At 37.3% G+C, this 19,542-nt stretch overlaps 1 long non-coding RNA gene across 2 annotated transcripts in view; it reads left to right on the forward strand.

The window, feature by feature from the left end:
* The window catches only part of LOC105379066 (uncharacterized), a 70,191-nt gene extending 55,926 nt beyond the window's left edge, over positions 1-14,265 (forward strand). For both annotated transcript variants that reach the window (XR_948543.1, XR_948542.2), the window contains 2 exons: positions 11,030-11,106; positions 14,228-14,265. This is a non-coding gene — a long non-coding RNA (uncharacterized LOC105379066). The remainder of the gene's footprint in view (positions 1-11,029; positions 11,107-14,227) is intronic.
* The last annotated feature ends 5,277 nt before the right edge of the window (positions 14,266-19,542 follow it).

Genomic DNA, 19,542 nt, shown 5'->3' on the forward strand with positions numbered 1-19,542 from the left:
TCTCTTGGTAAACAAGTTGAACTTTCTCACCTCCAGTTAGCATGAATAGTTTTGTTTGGCTACTGACAAATAATAGTTTGAGGATAGCATAAAAGAGTAACCAAAAATGCACGTTTTTACCTTCACCAGACTTCTTTTACAGTTGATAAAATGTTACAAAACTCACAAGCTGTGATTCATGTATTTATGACTTGAGGTTCTACAACTTTATTTTCTCTTGTGGAAAAAAAGACAATCACTATAATAATTTGTCTTAGAGATATACTTTTCATTTTTTTCATAAAGATCTTCCATCTAGTATGTAGGCTACAGCACTTGGCAGGCAGGAAATTATTTATCAGACTATCTTATAAAAGCAACTTTTCAGACTGGATGCCGTGGCTCACGCGTGTAATCCCAGCACTTTGGGAGGCCGAGATGGGCAGATCACCTGAGATTAGGAGTTCAAGACCAGCCTGGGCAACATGGCAAAACCCTGTCTCTACTAAAAATACAAAAATTAGGTGTGGTGGCCGGCACCTGTAATCCCAGCTACTTGGGAGGTTGAGGCAGGAGAATCACTTGAACCTGGGAGGCAGATGTTTCAATGAGCTGATATCGCGCCGGTGCACTCCAGATTAGGCAACAGAGAGAGACTCCATCTCAAACAAACAAACAAAAACAAAACAAACAAAAAAAGCAACTATTCCATCATAGATACCCATCAATAATTTGGAACTCTGAAGGAAATTTTTTTCTTTCTTCTTTATAGCAAAATTATTCTACAATGGTTAATGAGCATAAACTTCTGAGGTTTATTCCATTGTGTTCAAATTGTTTCCTAATTTTTTGGATCTCCAAAACTTGACTATTTTAATATTGTTGCTATATTGGGAGATGAACTAAAATCTCAAAGTGAGAGAAAATATTTTCATGGGAAAGTTAAGAACAAGATGGAGGAAAAGGGACCTCCATCAGTGATTGATGAATTAGGCTTTCCTGAAGAAAGTAGAGAATAAGGAGCTGAATGCAGAAATAAGGAACAAAAAGCAGATTGGTTATTTCGAAATTGCTTTCCTTATAGGATTAAAACAGAGATCCCTTAGTTAGGTAAACCAGGCCCTTTCTGATTGGTTGCTGTGAATCTCCTGGTTTTTTGAATACTGGCTCATTTTGAAGTTCAGTTTCATTATGTGGCACCTAACAGGAGCGATTCCATTCTGGTTCTGTCTGGTCTTTTGGGGCCTAGAGCACAGCCTCAGCCCTAAACAATGGCTTCTCTTCCACTTTGTTTAACAGTTCTCTGAACTCTTTCAAATTAACGTTTCCGTATGGCATGAGACAAAGGTAATGGTTCATTTGTTCTCCATGTGGCTATCTAGTTGTTATAACACTATTTATTGAAAAGTGTATCTTTTCTTTATTGAATTACTATCATATCTTGTTAAAAATCGAGGATACGTGTGTAGGTCAATTTCTGGATTCTCCATTCTGTTCCATTGATCTCTTGGCCATATACCACACTGTCTTGATTACTGTAGCATTATAATAAATCTTTAAATAAGGGAGTATAAGTCCTTCAACATTGTTCTTTTTAAAAATTCTTTTGGCTATTTTTGGTTCTTACCATTTTCACATAAATTTTATAGTTTGTCAAGATTTAGCAAAGCCCTGTGGCAGTTTTGATTGGAATTGCATTAAACTTATAGATAAATGATGACTAATGGGAACGTAATGCATGTCAAAATATGTAAGCACATGTAATTTAAATATTTCTGGTAGACACATTAAAAAGAAAAAAAACCATGAAATTAATGTTAATAATTATTTTATTTACCCCAATATATGAAAACATCAACCTGTAATCAATATAAAAACATTGATATGATATTTTATTCTTTTTTTGTACTAAGTCATTGAAATCTGGTGTGTTTTTACACTTACAGCACACCTTAGTCACCTTAGTCTGAATTAAGATTCAGACTAGCCACATATCAAGTGTTTAGTAGCCTCATGTGGCTCATGGATACCATACTGAACAAAATAACTATAGATCAATTTGGAGATAATTGTCAAATAAATAGTATTTAGTATTCTTAACAAAAAATGAATTTAAAAGTGTATTATTAAGTGTCTTATTTATCTAAACAGGTATTAGTGTACAGTTCTTGCATGTACTTTGTTAAATTTATTCCTAAGTACTTCAGGTTTTTGCGTGCTGTTATTAATGGTATTGTTTTTCATGTTTTAGTTTTTAATTGTTCATTGCAACTTATATAAATAATTGAATTTTGCGTATTGGCCTAGTATATTCTGCAACTTATTGAAAGTGTTTACTAGCTCTGGTATGTTATTTTGTTGACACTTTAGAACTTCCTACCTAAAAAAAATATGTCTGTAAATAAAAGCAGTTTTCACTTATAATCTGTATGTCTTTTATTTCTTTTCCTTGTATTGGGTAGAACCTGCAGGACAGCATTAAAAGGAAGAGGACTCTCTTGTCTTGCTCCTGTTAAGGCAACAAGCTTCAGTCTTTCACTGTTAAGGATAAAGTTATTGATATGTGCTTTGTAGGTGTTCCTTATCAAGTTGAGGATTCTTTTTTTATTCCTAGTTTTCTGAGAGTTTTTTAAAATCATGAATTGGTGTTGAATTTTGTCAAATGCTTTTTTTCCATTTATTGAGATGATCATATGATCTATTTTATTATTTCTTTTTTTTTTTTTTTTTTTTGAGATGGAGTCTCGCTCTGTCACCCAGGCTGGAGTGCAGTGGCATGATCTCCGCTCACTGCAAGCTCCGCCTCCCGGGCTCACGCCATTCTCCTGCCTCAGCCTCCCAAGTAGCTGGGACTACAGGTGCCCACCACCACACCTGGCTAATTTTTTGTATTTTTTTTAGTAGAGACGGGGTTTCACCAATGTTAGCCAGGATGGTCTCGATCTCGTGACCTCGTGATCTGCCCGCCTTGGCCTCCCAAAGTGCTGGGATTACAGGCGTGAGCCATCGCGCCTGGCCTATTTTATTATTTCAATATGAACTATATTGATTGTTTTTCTGATGTTAACTAACCTTGTGTTCCTAGGATAAAACCCATTTGGTCATGATATGCAATTATTTTTATATATTTTCTGTATTATTTTAGTTACTATTCTATTCATGGTTTTTGGGGAATTATTTTCATGGGAGATATTTGTGTGCCGTTATCTTTTCCTGGAATGTCTGTAACTGATTTTGGTTTCAGTTAATGATGACTTGTTATATTGGTTAGAAAGTGTTCCTTCCTTTTCTGTTTTCTTAATGAGTTTGTGTAGGATTGGCATTATTTTTTCTCCAAATGTTTGATGGAATTCAACAATTAAGCAATATAGGCTTGGAGCTTATTTTGTTTTTATGGAAAGTTTTAAGGTAGAAACTCAGATTCTCTAATAAAGAACTATTAGAGGATGGGCAAGATGACTGAATAGGAACAGCTCCGGTCTGCAGCTCCCAGAGAGACCAACACAGAAGGTGGTTGATTTCTGCATTTCCAATTGAGGTACCCATTTCATCTCATTGGGACTGGTTAGGCAGTGGGTGCAGCCCACGAAGGGCGAGCAGAAGCAGGGCGGGGTGTCCCTCACCTGGGAAGTACAAGGAGTGGGGGACCACCCTCCCCCAGCCAAGGGATGCCATGACGGACTGTGCTATCTGGCCCAGATACTACACTTTTCCCATGGTTTTTTCAATCTGCAGACCAGGAGATTCCCTCGTGTGCCTACACCACCAGGGCCCTGGGTTTCAAGCAAAAACTGGGCAGCTGTTTGGGCAGACACCGAGCTAGCTGCAGGATTTTATTTTGTACCCCAGTGGTGCCTGGAACCTCAGGGAAACAGAATTATTCACTCCCCTGGAAAGGGGGCTGAAGCCAGGGAGCCAAGTGGTCTCACTCAGCGGGTCCCACTCCCACAGGGCCAGCAAGCTAAGAACCACTGACGTGAAATTCTCACTGACAGCACAGCAGTCTGAATGGGATGGAGCTTGGTGGTGGGAGGGGTGCCCTCCACTACTGAGATTTGAGTAGGGAGTTACCCCTGACAGAGCTAAGGAGGCTAGGAAGTTTGGACTGGGCAGTACTCACCACAGCTCGGCAAAGCAGCTGTGGCCAGACTGCCTCTCTAGATTCCTCCTCACTGGGCAGGGCATCTCTGAAACAGAGGCAGCAGCCCTTCCCATCTCCCTGGGACAGAGCACCTGGGGGAAGGGGCAGCTGTGGGCGCAGGTTCAGCAGACTTAAACATTGATGCTTACCAACTCTGAAGAGGGTAATGGATCCTGACAGGAGGATTCTCAAGTTCTGCTAAGGGACAGACTGCCTCCTCAAGTTGGTCCCTGACCCCTGTGCCTCCTGACTGGGACACAATTCCTAGCAGGGGTCAACAGACACCTCATACAGGAGAGCTCTGGGTAGCATCAGGCTGGTGCCCCTCTGGGATGAAGCTTCCAGAGGAAGGAGCAGGCAGCAACCATTGATGTTCTGCAGCTTCCGCTGGTGATACCCAGGCAAATAGGGTCTGGAGTGAACCTCCAGAAAACTGCAGCAGATCTGCCGAAGAGGGGCCTGACTGTTAGAAGAAAAACTAACAAACAGATAGCAACAACATCAACATCAACAAAAAGAACCCACACACAAAAACTCCATCCAAAGGTCATCAGCCTCAAAGATCAAAGGTAGATAAATCCATGAAGATAAGGAAAAACCAGCACAAAAATGTTAGAAATTCCAAAAACTGGAATGCCACTTCTCCTCCAAATGGCCACAACTCCTCTACATCAAGGGCACAAAACTGGACAGAGAATAAGTTTGACAAATTGACGGAAGTAGGCTTCAGGAGGTGGGTAATAACAAACTCCTCTGAGCTAAAGGAGCATGTTCCAACTCAATGCAAGGAAGGTAAGAACCTTGATAAAAGGTACAGGAACTGCTAACTAGAATAATCAGTTTGGAGAAGAACATAAATGACCTGATGGAGCTGAAAAACACAGCACGAGAACTTCATGAAGCATACACAAATATTATTAACTAAATTGATCAAGTGGAAGAAAAGATATCAGAGACTGAAGATCAACTTAGTGAAATAAGGCATGAAGACAATATCAGAGAAAAAAGAATGAAAAGGAATGAACAGAGCCTCCAAGAAATATGGGAATATGTGAAAAGACCAAACATATAATTGGTGTACCTGAAAGTGACAGGGAGAATGGAACCAAGATGGAAAACACACTTCAGGATATTATCCAGGGGAACTTCCCCAACCTAGCAAGACAGGCCAACATTCGAATTCAAGAAATACACAGAACATCACTAAGATACTCCTTGAGAAGTAAAACCCCAACACACACAATTGTCAGATTCTCCAAGGTTGAAACAAAGGAAGAAATGTTAAGGACAGCCAGTGAGAAAGGTCAGGTTACCTACAAAGGGAAGCCCATTAGCCTAACAGTGGATCTCACTGCAGAAACCCTACAAGACAGAAGAGAGTGGGGGCCAATATTCAACATTCTTAAAGAAAAGAATTTTCAACCCAGAATTTCATATCCAGCCAAACTAAGCTTCATAAGTGAAGGAGAAATAAAATCCTTTCCTGATAAGCAAATGCTGAGGAATTTTGTCACCACCAGGCCTGACTTACAAGAGTTCCTGAAGGCAGCACTAAATATGGAAAGGAAAAACCAGCACCAGCCACTGCAAAAACATACCAAATTGTAAAGATCATCAACACTATAAAGAAGCTGCATCAACTAATGGGCAAAATAACCAGCTAGCATCATAATGACAGGATCAAATTCACACGTAACAATATTAACCTTAAATGTAAAATGGCTAAATGCCCCAATTAAAAAACACAGGCTGGCAAATTGGACAAAGAGACAAAACCCATCAGTGTGCTGTATTCAGGAGACCCATCTCATGTACAAAGACACATATAGGCTCAAAATAAAGGGATGGAGGAATATTTACCAAGCAAACGGAAAGCAAAAAAGAGGAAGGGTTGCAATCCTAGTTTCTGATAAAATAGACTGTAAACTAACAAAGATAAAAAAAGACAAGAAGAACATTACATAATGGTAAAGGGATCAATGCAACAAGAAGAGCTAACTATCCTAAATATATATGCACCCAATACAGGAACAACCAGATTCATAAAACAAGTTCTTAGAGACCCACAAAGAGGCTTAGACTCCCACAAAATAACAGTGGATTAACCAGACAGAAAATTTACAAAGATATTCAGTACTTGAACTCAGCTGTGGACAAAGTGGACCTAACAGACATCTACAGAACTCTCCGCCACAAATCAACAAAATATACATTCTTCTCAGAACTGCATGCACTTATTCTAAAAATCAAACACATAATTGGAAGTAAAACACTCCTCAAGCAAATGCAAAAGAGTGGAAATCATAACAAACAGTCTCTCAGACCACAGTGCAATCAAATTAGAATTCAGGATTAAGAAACTCACTCAAAACCACACAACTACATGGAAAGTGAACAATCTGCTCCTGAATGACTACTGGGTAAATAACAAAATTAAGGCAGAGATAAATAACTTCTTTGAAACCAATAAGAACAAAAACACAATGTACCAGAATCTCTGGGACACAGCTAAAGAAGTGTTAAGAGGGAAATTTATAGCAGTACATGTCCACAAGAGAAAGCAGGAAAGATCTGAAATCGACACCTGGACATCACAATTAAAAAAAACTAGAGAAGCAAGATAAAACAAATTCAAAAGCTAGCAGAAGACCAGAAATAACTAAGATCAGAGCAGAACTGAAGGAAATGAAGACACAAAAATCCCTTCAAAAAATCAATGAATCCAGGAGGTGGTTTTTTGAAAAGATTAACAAAATACATAGACTGCTAGCCAGACTAATAAAGAAGAAAGTGAGAAGAATCAAATAGGCACAATAAAAAATGATAAAGGGGATATCACCACTGATTCCACAGAAATAAAAACAACCATCAGAGAATACTGTAAACACCTCTACACAAATAAACTAGAAAATCTAAAAGAAATGGATAAATTCCTGGAAACATACACTCTCCCAAGACTAAACCAGGAAGAAGTTGAATCCCTGAATAAACCAATGACAATTTCTGAAATTGAGGCAGTGATTAATAGCCTACCAAGCAAATAAAAGCCCAGGGACAGATGGATTCACAGCTGAATTCTACCAGAGGTAAAAAGAGGAGCTGGTACCATTCCTTCTGAAACTATTCAAAAAATAGAAAAAGAGGGAATCCTCCCTGACACATTTTGTGAGGCCAGCATCATCCTGATACCAAAACCTGGCAGAGGCACAACAAAAAAAAAAAAAAGAAAATTTCAGGCCAATATCCCTGATGAACACCAATGCAAAAATCCTCAGTAAAATACTGGCAAAATGAATCCAGCCGCACATCAAAAAGCTTATCCACCACGATCAATTTGGCTTCACCCCTGGGATGCAAGGCTGGTTCAACATACACGAATCAATATATGTAATCCATCACATAAACAGAACCAATGACAAAACCACATGGTTATCTCAATAGATGCAGAAAATGTCTTCAATAAAATTCAACAGCCCTTCATGCTAAAAACTTTCAATAAACTAGGTATTGATGGGACATATCTCAGAATAATAAGAGCTATTTATGACAAACCCATAGGCTATATAATACTGAATGGACAGAAGCTGGAAGCATTCCCTTTGAAAACTGGCACATGACAGGGATGCCCTCTCTTACCAGTCCTATTAAACATAGTATTGGAAGTTCTGGCCAGGGCAATCAGGAAAGAGAAAGAAATAAAAGGTTTTCAAATAGGAAGAGAAGAAGTCAAATTGCCTCTGTTTGCAGATGACATGATTCTATATTTAGAAAACTCCATCGTCTTAGCTCAAAAACTCCTTAAGCTGATAAGCAACTTCAGCAAAGTCTCAGGATAAAAAATCAATGTGCAAAAATTACAGGCATTCCTATACACCAATAATAGACAAGCAGAGAACCAAATCATGAGTGAACTCACATTCACAATTGCTACAAAGAGAATAAAATACCTAGGATTACAACTTACAAGGGATGTGAAGGACCTTTTCCAGGAGAACTAAAACCACTGCTCAAGGAAATAAGAGAGGACACAAACAAATGGAAAAACATTTCATGCTCATGGATAGGAAGAATCAGTATCATGAAAATGGTCAACCTGCCCAAAGTAATTTATAGATTCAATGCTATTTCCCTCAAGCTACCATTGACTTCCTTCACAGAATTAGAAAATACTACTTAAAATTTTATATGGTACCAAAAAGGAACCTGTATAGCCAAGACAATCCTAGCAAATAGAACAAAGCTGGAGGCATCACGCTACCTGACTTCAAACTACACTAGAAGTCTACAGTAACAAATACAGCATGGTACTTGTACCAAAACAGATATATAGACCAGTGGAACAGAACACAGGCCTCAGAAATAACACCACACATCTATAACCATTTGATCTTCCACAAACCTGACACAAACAAGCAATGGGGAAAGGATTCCCTATTTAATAAATGGTGATGGGAAAACTGGCTAATCATATGCAGAAAACAGAAACTGGACCCCTTCCTTACACCTTATACAAAAATTAACTCAAGATGAATTAAAGACTTAAACTTAAGACCTAAAACCATAAAAACCCTAGAAGAAAACCTAGGCAATACCATTCAGGACATAGGCATGGGCAAGGACTTCATGACTAGAACACCAAAAGCAATGGCAACAAGAGCTAAAATAGACAAATGGGATCGAATTAAACTAAAGAGCTTCTGCAAAGTGAAAGAAACTATCATCAGAGTGAACAGGCAACCTACAGAATGGGAGACAATTTTTGCCATCTATCTATCGACAAAGGGCTAATATCCAGAATCTGCAAGGAACTTAAACAAAGTTACAAGAAAAATCAAACAACCCCATCAAAAAGTGGGCAAAGGATATGAAGAGACACTTCTCAAAAGAAGACATTTATGTGGCCAACAAACATGAAAAAAAGCTCATCACCACTGGACATTAGAGAAATGCAAATCAAAACCACAATGAGATACCACCTCACACCAGTTAGAATGGCAATCATTAAAAAGTCTGGAAACAACAGATGCTGGAGAGGATGTGGACAAATAGGAATGCTTTTACACTGTTGGTGGAAGTGTAAATTAGTTCAACTATCGTGGAAGACCAGATGGCGAGTCCTCAAGGATCTAGAACCAGAAATACCATTTGACCCAGCGATCCCATTACTGGGTATATACTGAAAGGATTATAAATCATTTTACTATAAAGACACATGCACACATATGTTTATTGTGGCACTATTCACAATAGCAAAGACTTGGAACCAACCCAAATGCCCATCAATGATAGACTGGATAAAGAAAATGTGGCACATGTACACCATGGAATACTATGCAGCCATAAAAAAAGAGTGAGTTTATGTCCTTTGCAGGGGCATGGATTAAGCATTCTTAGTAAATTAACACAGGAACAAAAAACCAAATACCATATGTTCTCACTCATAAGTGGAAGTTTAACAGTGAGAACACGTGGACATAGGGAGGGGAAAATCACACACTGGGGTCTGTTGGGGGTTGGGAGGAAAGGAGAGGGATAGCATTAGGAAAAATACCTAATGCATGCGGGGCTTAAAACCTAGATGATGGGTTGATGGGTGAAGCAAAACACGATGGCACACGTATACCTATGTAACAAACCTGCATGTTCTGAACATGTATTCCAGAACTTAAAGTAAAATAATAAAAAAAAAATCTGAAAAAAAGAAAAAAAAAATTGTTATACAAACCAAAAAAAAATTAAAAAATCAAAAAACAACTATTAGGGTTATCTATTTCTTCTTGAGTAAACTTTGGAAAAATGTGTCTTTTAAGAAACCTACTTCATCTTGGTTGTTGAACTTATTTCCAATATTCTATTGTTGTCACTTTAATGTTTATATGATCTTTAGTAATCCTCCCTTTCTCTCTTGATATTGAAAAATTATGTCTTTCTTTTTTTCCTGATCATTTTAGCTAGAGGTTTAGTAATTTTATTGATGATTTTCAAAGAATCAGCTTTTGGTTTTACTGATTTTCTCTATTATTTGCTGTTTTCTATTTTATCTTATTTGCATTCTTATCTTTATTGTTTTCCTCTTTCTACTTACTTCGGTTTTAATTTGCTCTTTCTTTTCTTCCTTCTTTAGACTGAAACTGGAATAACTGATTTTATATTTCTCTTTTTTTTCTATATAGGAATTCAAATCTGTAGATTTAACTTTGTATACTGCTTCAGCTATATACCTTCTTTAATATATTGTTTTTATTTTCATTAAGTTCAAATATTTTATAATTTGTCTCATTTCTTTTTGAGTCCATGGGTTATATAGAACTATGTAGTTAATTTCCAAATATTTGGGAATTTTCCAGATATCCTTCTGGTTTTCATTTTTAATTTAACTCCATTATAGTAACAGAAAAAGTTTGTGAGATTTCAATCCTTTTAAACTAATCCACCATATGACTTACCTTGACAAATGTTCCATGTGCATGTAACAAGAATGTGTGTTCTACAACTGCTGAGTATAGAGTTATATTTATTTCAGTTAAATGAAGTTGGTTAATGGTGCTATTTAAATCATGTATATTCTGACTAATATTCTGTCTCCTTGTTTTATCAGTTACTAAGAGGAATGGTAAAATAACTAGGTACAATTGTGGACTTGTCTGTTTCTCTCTCAGATTTATCAGTTTTTGTTTTCTATGTTCTGCAGTTCTGTTATTAGGTGTGTACTCATTTCGGATTACTATGCCATCCTGGTTAACAAACTATTTGATGATTGTGAAATTTCCCTTTTATCAGTGGTAAAATTTCTTGTTCTGAAGTCTCTTTTGTCTGATATTAACAAAGTCACTCCAGCTTTCTTATGCTTAGTTAGTACTTTCTTGTATATTTTCCAAATTTAACTTTGACTTTTATCTTTATACGTAGTTGTGAAGGAGAAGGTAGTAACCATTGAGGAGAAAGGAAGATGGAAGAGGCTGGTATCCAGCTGATAGTTCTCACAGGTGGGTATATGTGGACTTGTGGAAAAGAATGATGGCTGATTACCAAAGAGGCTGCCATATCCCCTCTTTCCTGGAAGTTCCAGTGTATAGTAATGAAAATAACTACACTTAGCTTTATTGCATGTCAGTTGTGAGCTGAAGAAAAATGCAACCATGCTCATGAGAAACCCAAATTTTACCTTTAATTCAGTAGGAAAAATTTGTTTATATTTCCTGGGTAGGAAAAATTAACAAAGAGATCTCTCCAATGACTTCTGACATTTATCTCATTTTCCTTCCTATTTCTGACTTTTCTTCCGTCTTCCTCTGTTAGTTTCAAATGTTCTGTTGTTTTATTTTTTATAAATTGAATTTTAGTTTCATTTTATCCATTTAATTATGCCTAACTTTTAATCTTGTACTGATTAAAATCTTTATTAGTATTCTTGGAAGAGATTTTAATAGTTTTTTGAATAAAATGTACCCTTAAAATAATAAATAGATGCTATTTCTGAGTAGCTAAAACATGGGTTTTGAAGTAACACCAACTTTTATTCATACCATATTTCTGATACTTGCTTTAAGTTCTGGCTCTTGTCACTAATTAGCCATGTGGCCTTAGAAAGTTACTGAAACTCTCTGTGCCTTTCTCTAACGTGGTGATAATAACAATAATTTTATGAGCACTTACAATGTAAAACTCCTAGAACAGTAACTGGCATACAGTAAATTGCTACAAAATGTTTGTTTTTGTTACTGTTAACATTTGTGTAACTTTATGCAAATTACTCAAACTTTCTAAGATTCCATCCTCACTGGAAAATTGAAATAAAAGTACTTACTTCGTAGTTGTGCTATAATTCCTAGCTGATATAATCTATGTAAATTCAAGTTTTGGCAATCACGGCCATCTAAACACTACACACAGTAAGTGATGCGTTCCTCTTGCAAACTCCAAACCTTAATTTCCTCATCTTCAAGGGTCTTTGCCTTCACCTCATCTCATCAGCTTTCCTTCACACTTTTCCCTGGACCTTGTCAACATCTGGAAGAGAGAGATATCTAAAGTTTTAGATTCTAACATCCCTGCTCTCTGACCACAGTTTTATCTGCCCTGTCATTGCTCTGCTTGGTAAAACACTGACCTTGGATCTTGTTGTCAGCTTTCCTTCCTCAACATCTAGGCAGCCAAGTGCTTATGGAGAGGACTGTACAATAGCAAAGACTAGTGTCACTAAAAACTCATATGCATGGCAATCTTTCTAATTCATCTTTCTGTTTTCCCAGTCTCTTATGCCTGTCTCTCATGTCTTTTGGTGATTATTCAAATCATCTTTATCTGCCCTATGCCTTCCTATTCGCTCTTAGAATATAACCTAGTTAATAAAGACAGTGGAAGTTTCCAAGCAAGAACTTCACAAGTATAAGCACTGATAAGTGGACAGGTACTCAAGTAACATCCTGGCGAAGGTAACATATCTATCTTCTCCTATACTTGCCTTGAGTCTGCAGGCTGGTCTCTTGCTAGTTCTTAGTGGTTTTGTATGAGAACTAGAATTAAAAGTGGAGCCTGAAGATGTTACTGAATTTCCCCAATTTCATGATAAGACTGAAGAGATGAGGAGTTGCTTCTTACAGATAAGCAAAGAAATTGGTTTCTTGAGATGGAATTGACTCCTGGTGAAGATGCTGTGAACATTGTTGAAATGACAACAAAGGATTTAGAATATTGTATAAACTTAGTTGATAAAGCAGCAGCAGGGTTTGAGAGGACTGACTCAAATGTTGAAAGTTCTGTTGTGGTAAAATGCTATCAAACAGCATCACATGCTACAGAGAAATCTTTCATGAAAGAAAGAGTCAGTAAATGCAGCAAACTCCCATTGCTGTTTTACTTTAAGAAATTGCCACAGTCACTCTAATCTTCAGCAACTACCACCTTGACCAGCTATAACATCTAGGCAACTCTCTCCCAGCAAAAAGATTACAAGTGGCTGAATGCTCAGAGGATCATTAGCATTTTTTTTTTTTACCAATGAAGTATTTTAAATTAAGATATGTACATTGTCTGAGACATAATACAATTGTACTCTATATATAATATAGACTTAATATAACATAATTGTATAAAATAGATTTAATATAATTGCATGCTATAGATACTATAATAGACTAAAATACAGTGTAAATATGACTTTTTTTTAAAGAGTTAGAGTCTCACTCTATTACCAAGGCTAAAGTGCAGTAGCATGATCATGGCTCACTTCACCTTGAACTTCTGGGTTCCAGCAATCCTTCTACCTCAGCCCCCCAAGTACCTGGGTCTATAGGCACACTACCAAGCCTGGCTGTTTTTAAAATGCTTTTTAGAGATAGGGTCTCACTATGTTGCCCAGGCTGATCTCAAACTCTTGGCTTCAAGTAATCCTCCTGCCTCAAGTCACTGTGATTACAGGTTTGAGTACAAATATAACTTTTACATATGCTGGGAAACCAAAAAAATTATGTGACTCACTTTATTGTGATATTAACTTTATTGCGGTGGTCTGGAACCAAACCCACAATATTTTCAAAGTATACCCTGTATTTAAATTCATTTTCTTAAAGATTGTATACAGTTGGATCTTGACTTTTTGTTCAGTATAATAGTCCTGCCTTTAATTAGTATGTTTAAACCATTTATACCATATGTATACACTGGTATGCTTGAGTTTAAATCTACTACCTTGTTATCTGTTGACTGTCCCATTTGTTCTTGGTTCATTTTCCCTATTTTTCTGTCTTTTTCAATTAATTTGGTACTTCTTAGTATTTTATTTTGTCTGTTACTGACTTGTTAGCTTCATTTTGTTTTTTAGTGTTGTACTAGGGTTTATGATATCTTTCACTTATGGCAATCTACCCTAAAATCATATCATACTGCTTTATTTGTAACATATGAATCTTAAAGCAGTATACTTTATACTTTTCCTCTCCTGCTTTTTGGGCTATTTTTGTTAAATTTTAGACTTTTAAACATGTCAAAACCCCAATAGTGTACTTCAAATAATCAACCATCCTTTAAAAAAACAAAATAAGAAAGTCTTTTACATTTATCATGTTTAATACTTTTAGTGCCCTCTATTTTTTTTTTTTTTTTCAGATGGAGTCTCACTCTGTTGCCCAGGCTGGAGTGCAGTGGTGATCTCGGCTCACTTCAATCTCCGCCTCCCGGGTTCAAGCAGTTCTCCTTCCTCAGCCTCCTGAGTAGCTGGGACTACAGTCACACACCGCCACACCCGGCCAATTTTTTGTATTTTAGTAGAGACGGAGTTTCACTGTGTTGTCCAGGCTGGTTGCGAACTCCTGAGCTCAGGCAATCCGCCTGCCTCAGCCACCCAAAGTGTTGGGATTACAGGCGTGAGCCACTGTGCCCAGCCAGTGCTCTCTATTCTTATGTGTAAGCTCATGTTTTGCATTTGGTGCCGTTTTCCTTCTGCCTGAAGAAATTAATATATCATTACATATCAGTCAGTCTTCTAATGACAAATTTCTCAGCTTTTATTTTGTAAAACAGACTTTATGTCACCTCAAATTCTTTTTTAAAGTAACACTTTATCAAAGTGTGATTGTCATACAAAAAATCTATACATATGTAATGCATACAACTTGATGAGTCTAGAGACCAGTATACACCTATAAAACCATCACCAAAATCAATACCATAAACATATCTATCACCTCCAAAGTTTCCTTTTACCATTTTATTATTATTATTTTGTGATAAGAATGCTTAATGTAAAATCTACTTTCTTAGCAAATTTCAAAGTATATAATACAGTATTGTTAACTATAGGGACTATACTGTACAATAGATCTAAATAATTTACTCACCTTGCAAAACTAAAACTTTGTATCCTTTGACCAAAATCTCTTCATTTCCCTCTCCTCCAGTCCTTGAAAACCACAATTTTACTCTCTGCTTCTATGAGTTTGACTCTTTTAGATTCCCTGTATCAGTGAGATTGTGTATTTCTCCTTTTGTGTCTGATTTATTTCACTTAGTATAATGTCCTTGAGGCTCATCTGTATTGTTGCAAATGGCAGAATTTTCTTCTTTTTAAAGACTGAATAATATTTCATTGATGGACATTTATTTTACATATGTGTCTTAGCTGTTGTGAACAATGCTACAATGAACATGGAAGTGCCAATGTCTCTTCAAGATCCTGATTTCAATTCCTTTCTTTTTTCTTTTATTTATACTTTAAGTTCTGGGATACATGTACAGAATGTTCAGGTTTGTTACATAGGTATACACGTGCCACGGTGGTTTGCTGCATCCATCAACCCATCATCTACATTAGGTATTTCTCCTAATGCTATCCCTCCCCTAGCCCCCACCTCCCAACAAGCCCCGGTGTGTGATGTTCCCCTCCCTGTGTCCATGTGTTCTCATTGTTCAATTCCAACTTATGAGTGAGAACATGCAGTGTGTGGTTTTCTGTTCTTGTGTTAGTTTGCTGAGAATGATGGTTTCCAGCTTCATCCATGTCCCTGCAAAGGACATGAACTCATCCTTTTTTATGGCTGCATTGTATTCCATGGTATATATGTGCCACATTTTCTTTATCCAGTATAATTAAACTCTTTAGTTTATTTAGATCCCATTTGTCAATTTTGGCTTTTGTTGCCATTGCTTTTGGTGTTTTAGTCATGAAGTCTTTGCCAATGCCTATGTCCTGAATGGTATTGCCTAGGTTTTCTTCTAGGGTTTTTATGGTTTTAGGTCTTATGTTGAAATCTTTAGTCCATCTTGGTTAATTTTTGTATAACATGTAAGGAAGGGGTCCAATTTCAGTTTTCTGCATATGACTAGCCAGTTTTCCTAACACCATTTATTAAATAGGGCATGGTTTCCCCATTGCTTGTTTTTGTCAGGTTTGTCGAACATCAGATGGTTGTAGATGTGTGCCATTATTTCTGAGGCCTCTGTTCTGTTCCACTGGTCTATATATCTGTTTTGGTACCAGTACCATGCTGTTTTGGTTACTGTAGCATTGTAGTATAGTTTGAAGTCAGATAGTGTGATGCCTCCAGCTTTGTTCTTTTTGCTTAGGATTGTCTTGTCTATATGGGCTCTGTTTTGGTTCCATATGAAATTTAAAGCAGTTTTTTTCTAATTCTGTGAAGGAAGTCAATGGTAGCTTGATGGGGATAGCATTGAATCTATAAATTACCTTGGGCAGTATGGCCATTTTCACAATATTCATTCTTCCTATCCATGAGCATGGAATGTTTTTCCATTTGTTTGTGTCCTCTCTTATTTCCTTGAGCAGTGGTTTGAAGTTCTCCTGGAAGAGGTCCTTCACATCCCTTGTAAGTTGTATTCCGAGGTATTTTATTCTCTTTGTAGCAATTGTGAATAGGAGTTCACTCATGATTTGGCTCTCTGCTTGTCTGTTATTGGTACATAGGGATGTTTGTGATTTTTGTACATTGATTTTGCATCCTGAGACTTTGCTGAAGTTGCTTATCAGCTTAAGGAGATTTTGGGCTGAGAGGATGGGATTTTCTAAATATACAATCATGTCATCTGCAAACAGGGACAATTTGACTTCCTCTCTTCCTATTAGAATACCCTTTATTTCTTTCTCTTTCCTGATTGCCCTGGCCAGAACTTCCAATACTATGTTGAATAGGAGTGGTGAGAGAGGGCATCCTTGTCTTGTGCTGGTTTCAAAGGGAATGCTTCCAGCTTTTGCCCATTCAGTATGATATTGGCTGTGGGTTTGCCACAAATAGCTCTTATTATTTTGAGATACATTCCATCAATACCTAGTTTATTGAGAGACGTGTTGAATTTTATCAAAGGCCTTTTATGCATCTATTGAGATAATCATATGGTTTTTGTCATTGGTTCTGTTTATGTGATGGATCACATTTATTGATTTGCGTATGTTGAACCAGCCTTGTATCCCAGGGATGAAGCTGACTTGATCATGGTGGATAAGCTTTTTGATGTGCTGCTGGATTTGGTTTGCCAGTATTTTATTGAGGATTTTTGCATCAATGTTCATCAGGGATATTGGCCTGAAATTTTATTTTTTGTTGTGTCTCTGCCAGGTTTTGGTATCAGGATGATGGTGGCCTCGTAAAATGAGTTAGGGAGGAGTCCCTCTTTTTCTATTGTTCTGAATAGTTTCAGAAAGAATGGTACCAGCTCCTCTTTTTACCTCTGGTGGAATTCGGCTGTGAATCTGTCTGGTCCTGAGCTTTTTTTGGTTGGTAGGCTATTAATTACTGCCTCAACTTCAGAACTTGTTATATTATTGGTCTATTCAGGGATTTGAATTCTTCCTGGCTTAGTCTTGGGAGGGTGTGTGTGTCCAGGAATTCATCAATTTCTTCTAGATTTTCTAGTTTATTTGCATAGAGGTGTTTATGGTATTATCTGATGGTAGTTTGTATTTCTGTGGGATCAGTGGTGATATCCACTTTATCATTTCTTATTGTTTTTATTTGCTTCTTCTCTCTTTTCTTCTTTATTAGTCTGACTATCAGTTGTGTTAATCTTTTCACGAAAGCAGCTCCTGGATTCATTGATTTTTTGAAGGGTTTTTGTGTCTCTATCTCCTTCAGTTCTGCTCTGATCTTAGTTATTTCTTGCCTTTTGCTAGCTTTTGAATATATTTTCTCATGCTTCTCTAGTTCTTCTAATTGTGATGTTAGGGTGTCGATTTTAGATCTTTCCTGCTTTCTCCTGTGGGCATTTAGTGCTATAAATTTCCCTCTAAACACTGCTTTAGCTGTGTCCCAGAGATTCTGGTACACTGTGTGTTTGTTCTCACTGGTTTCAAAGAACTTATTTACTTCTGCCTTAATTTTGTTATTTACCCAGTAGTATTCAGGAGCAAGTTGGTCAGTTTCCATGTAGTTGTGCCATTTTGAATGAGTTTCTGAATACTGAGTTCTAATTAGATTGCCCTGTGGTCTGAGAGACTGTTTGTTATGATTTCTGTTATTTTGTATTTGCTGAGGAGTGTTTTACTTTTAATTATGTGGTCAATTTTAGAATAAGTGTGATGTGTTGCTGAGAACAATGTATATTCTGTTGATTTGGGGTGGAGAGTTCTGTAGATGTCTATTAGGTCCACTTGGTCCAGAGCTGAGTTCAAGTCCTGAATATCCTTGTTAATTTTCTGTATCGTTGATCTGTCTAATATTGACAGTGGGCTGTTAAAGTCTCCCACTTTTACTGTATGGGAGTCTAAGTCTGTTTGTACATCTCTAACAACTTGCTTTATGAATCTGGGTGCTCCTGTATTGGGTACATATATATTTAGGATAGATAGCTCTTCTTGTTGCATTGATACCTCTACCATCTTGTAATACCCTTCTTTATCTCTTTTGATCTTTGTTGGTTTAAAGTCTATTTTATCAGCGACTAGGATTGCAACCCCTGCTTTTTTTTGCTTTCCATTTGCTTGGTAAATATTCCTCCATCCCTTTATTTTGAGCTGATGTGTGTCTTTGCAGGTGAGATGGGTCTTGTAAATAGAGCACAGTGATGGATCTTGACTTTTTATCCAATATGCCAGTCTGTGTCTTTTAACTGGGGGCATTTAGCCCGTTTATACTTAAGGTTAATACTGTTATGTGTGAATTTGATCCTGTCATTATGATGTTAGTTGGTTATTTTGCCCATTAGTTGATCCAGTTTCTTCATAGTGTTGATGGTCTTTACAATTTGGTATGTTTTTGCAGTGGTTGGTACCAGATTTTCTTTTCCATATTTAGTGCTTCCTTTTAAAAGCCCTTGTAAGGCAGGCCTGGTGATGACAAAATATCTCAGCATTTGCTTGTCTGTAAAGGATTTTATTTCTCCTTCACTTATGAAGCTTAGTTTGGCTGGATATGAAATTCTGGATTGAAAATTCTTTTTTTTTTTTAAGAATGTTGAATATTGGCCCTCATTCTCTTCTGTCTTGTAGGGTTTCTGCAGAAAGATCCAATGTTAGTCTGATGGGTTTCCCTTTGTAGGTAACCTGACTTTTCTTACTGGCTGCCCTTAACATTTTTTCCTTCATTTCAACCTTCATGAATCTGACGATTATGTGTCTTGGGATTGCTCTTCTCGAGGAGAATCTTTGTGTTGTCCTTCGCATTTCCTGAATTTGAATGTTGGCCTGTCTTGCTAGGTTGGAGAAGTTCTCCTACAAGGAAGTTTGAACTGGGCGGAGCCCACCATAGCTCTGCAAAGCTGCTGTAGCCAGACTGCCTCTCTAGATTCCTTCTCTCTGGGCAGGACATCTCTGAAAGAAAGGCAGCAGCCCCAATCAGGGGCTTATAGATCAAATTTCCATCTCCCTGGGACAGAGCACCTGGGGGAAGGGGTGGCTGTGGGCACAGCTTCAGCAAACTTAAACATTCCTGCCTGCTGGCTCCGAAGAGAGCAGCTGATCCCCCAGCACATCA

This window comes from Homo sapiens, chromosome 5 (genome assembly GCF_000001405.40).
Source record: "Homo sapiens chromosome 5, GRCh38.p14 Primary Assembly".
NCBI lineage: Eukaryota > Metazoa > Chordata > Mammalia > Primates > Hominidae > Homo > Homo sapiens.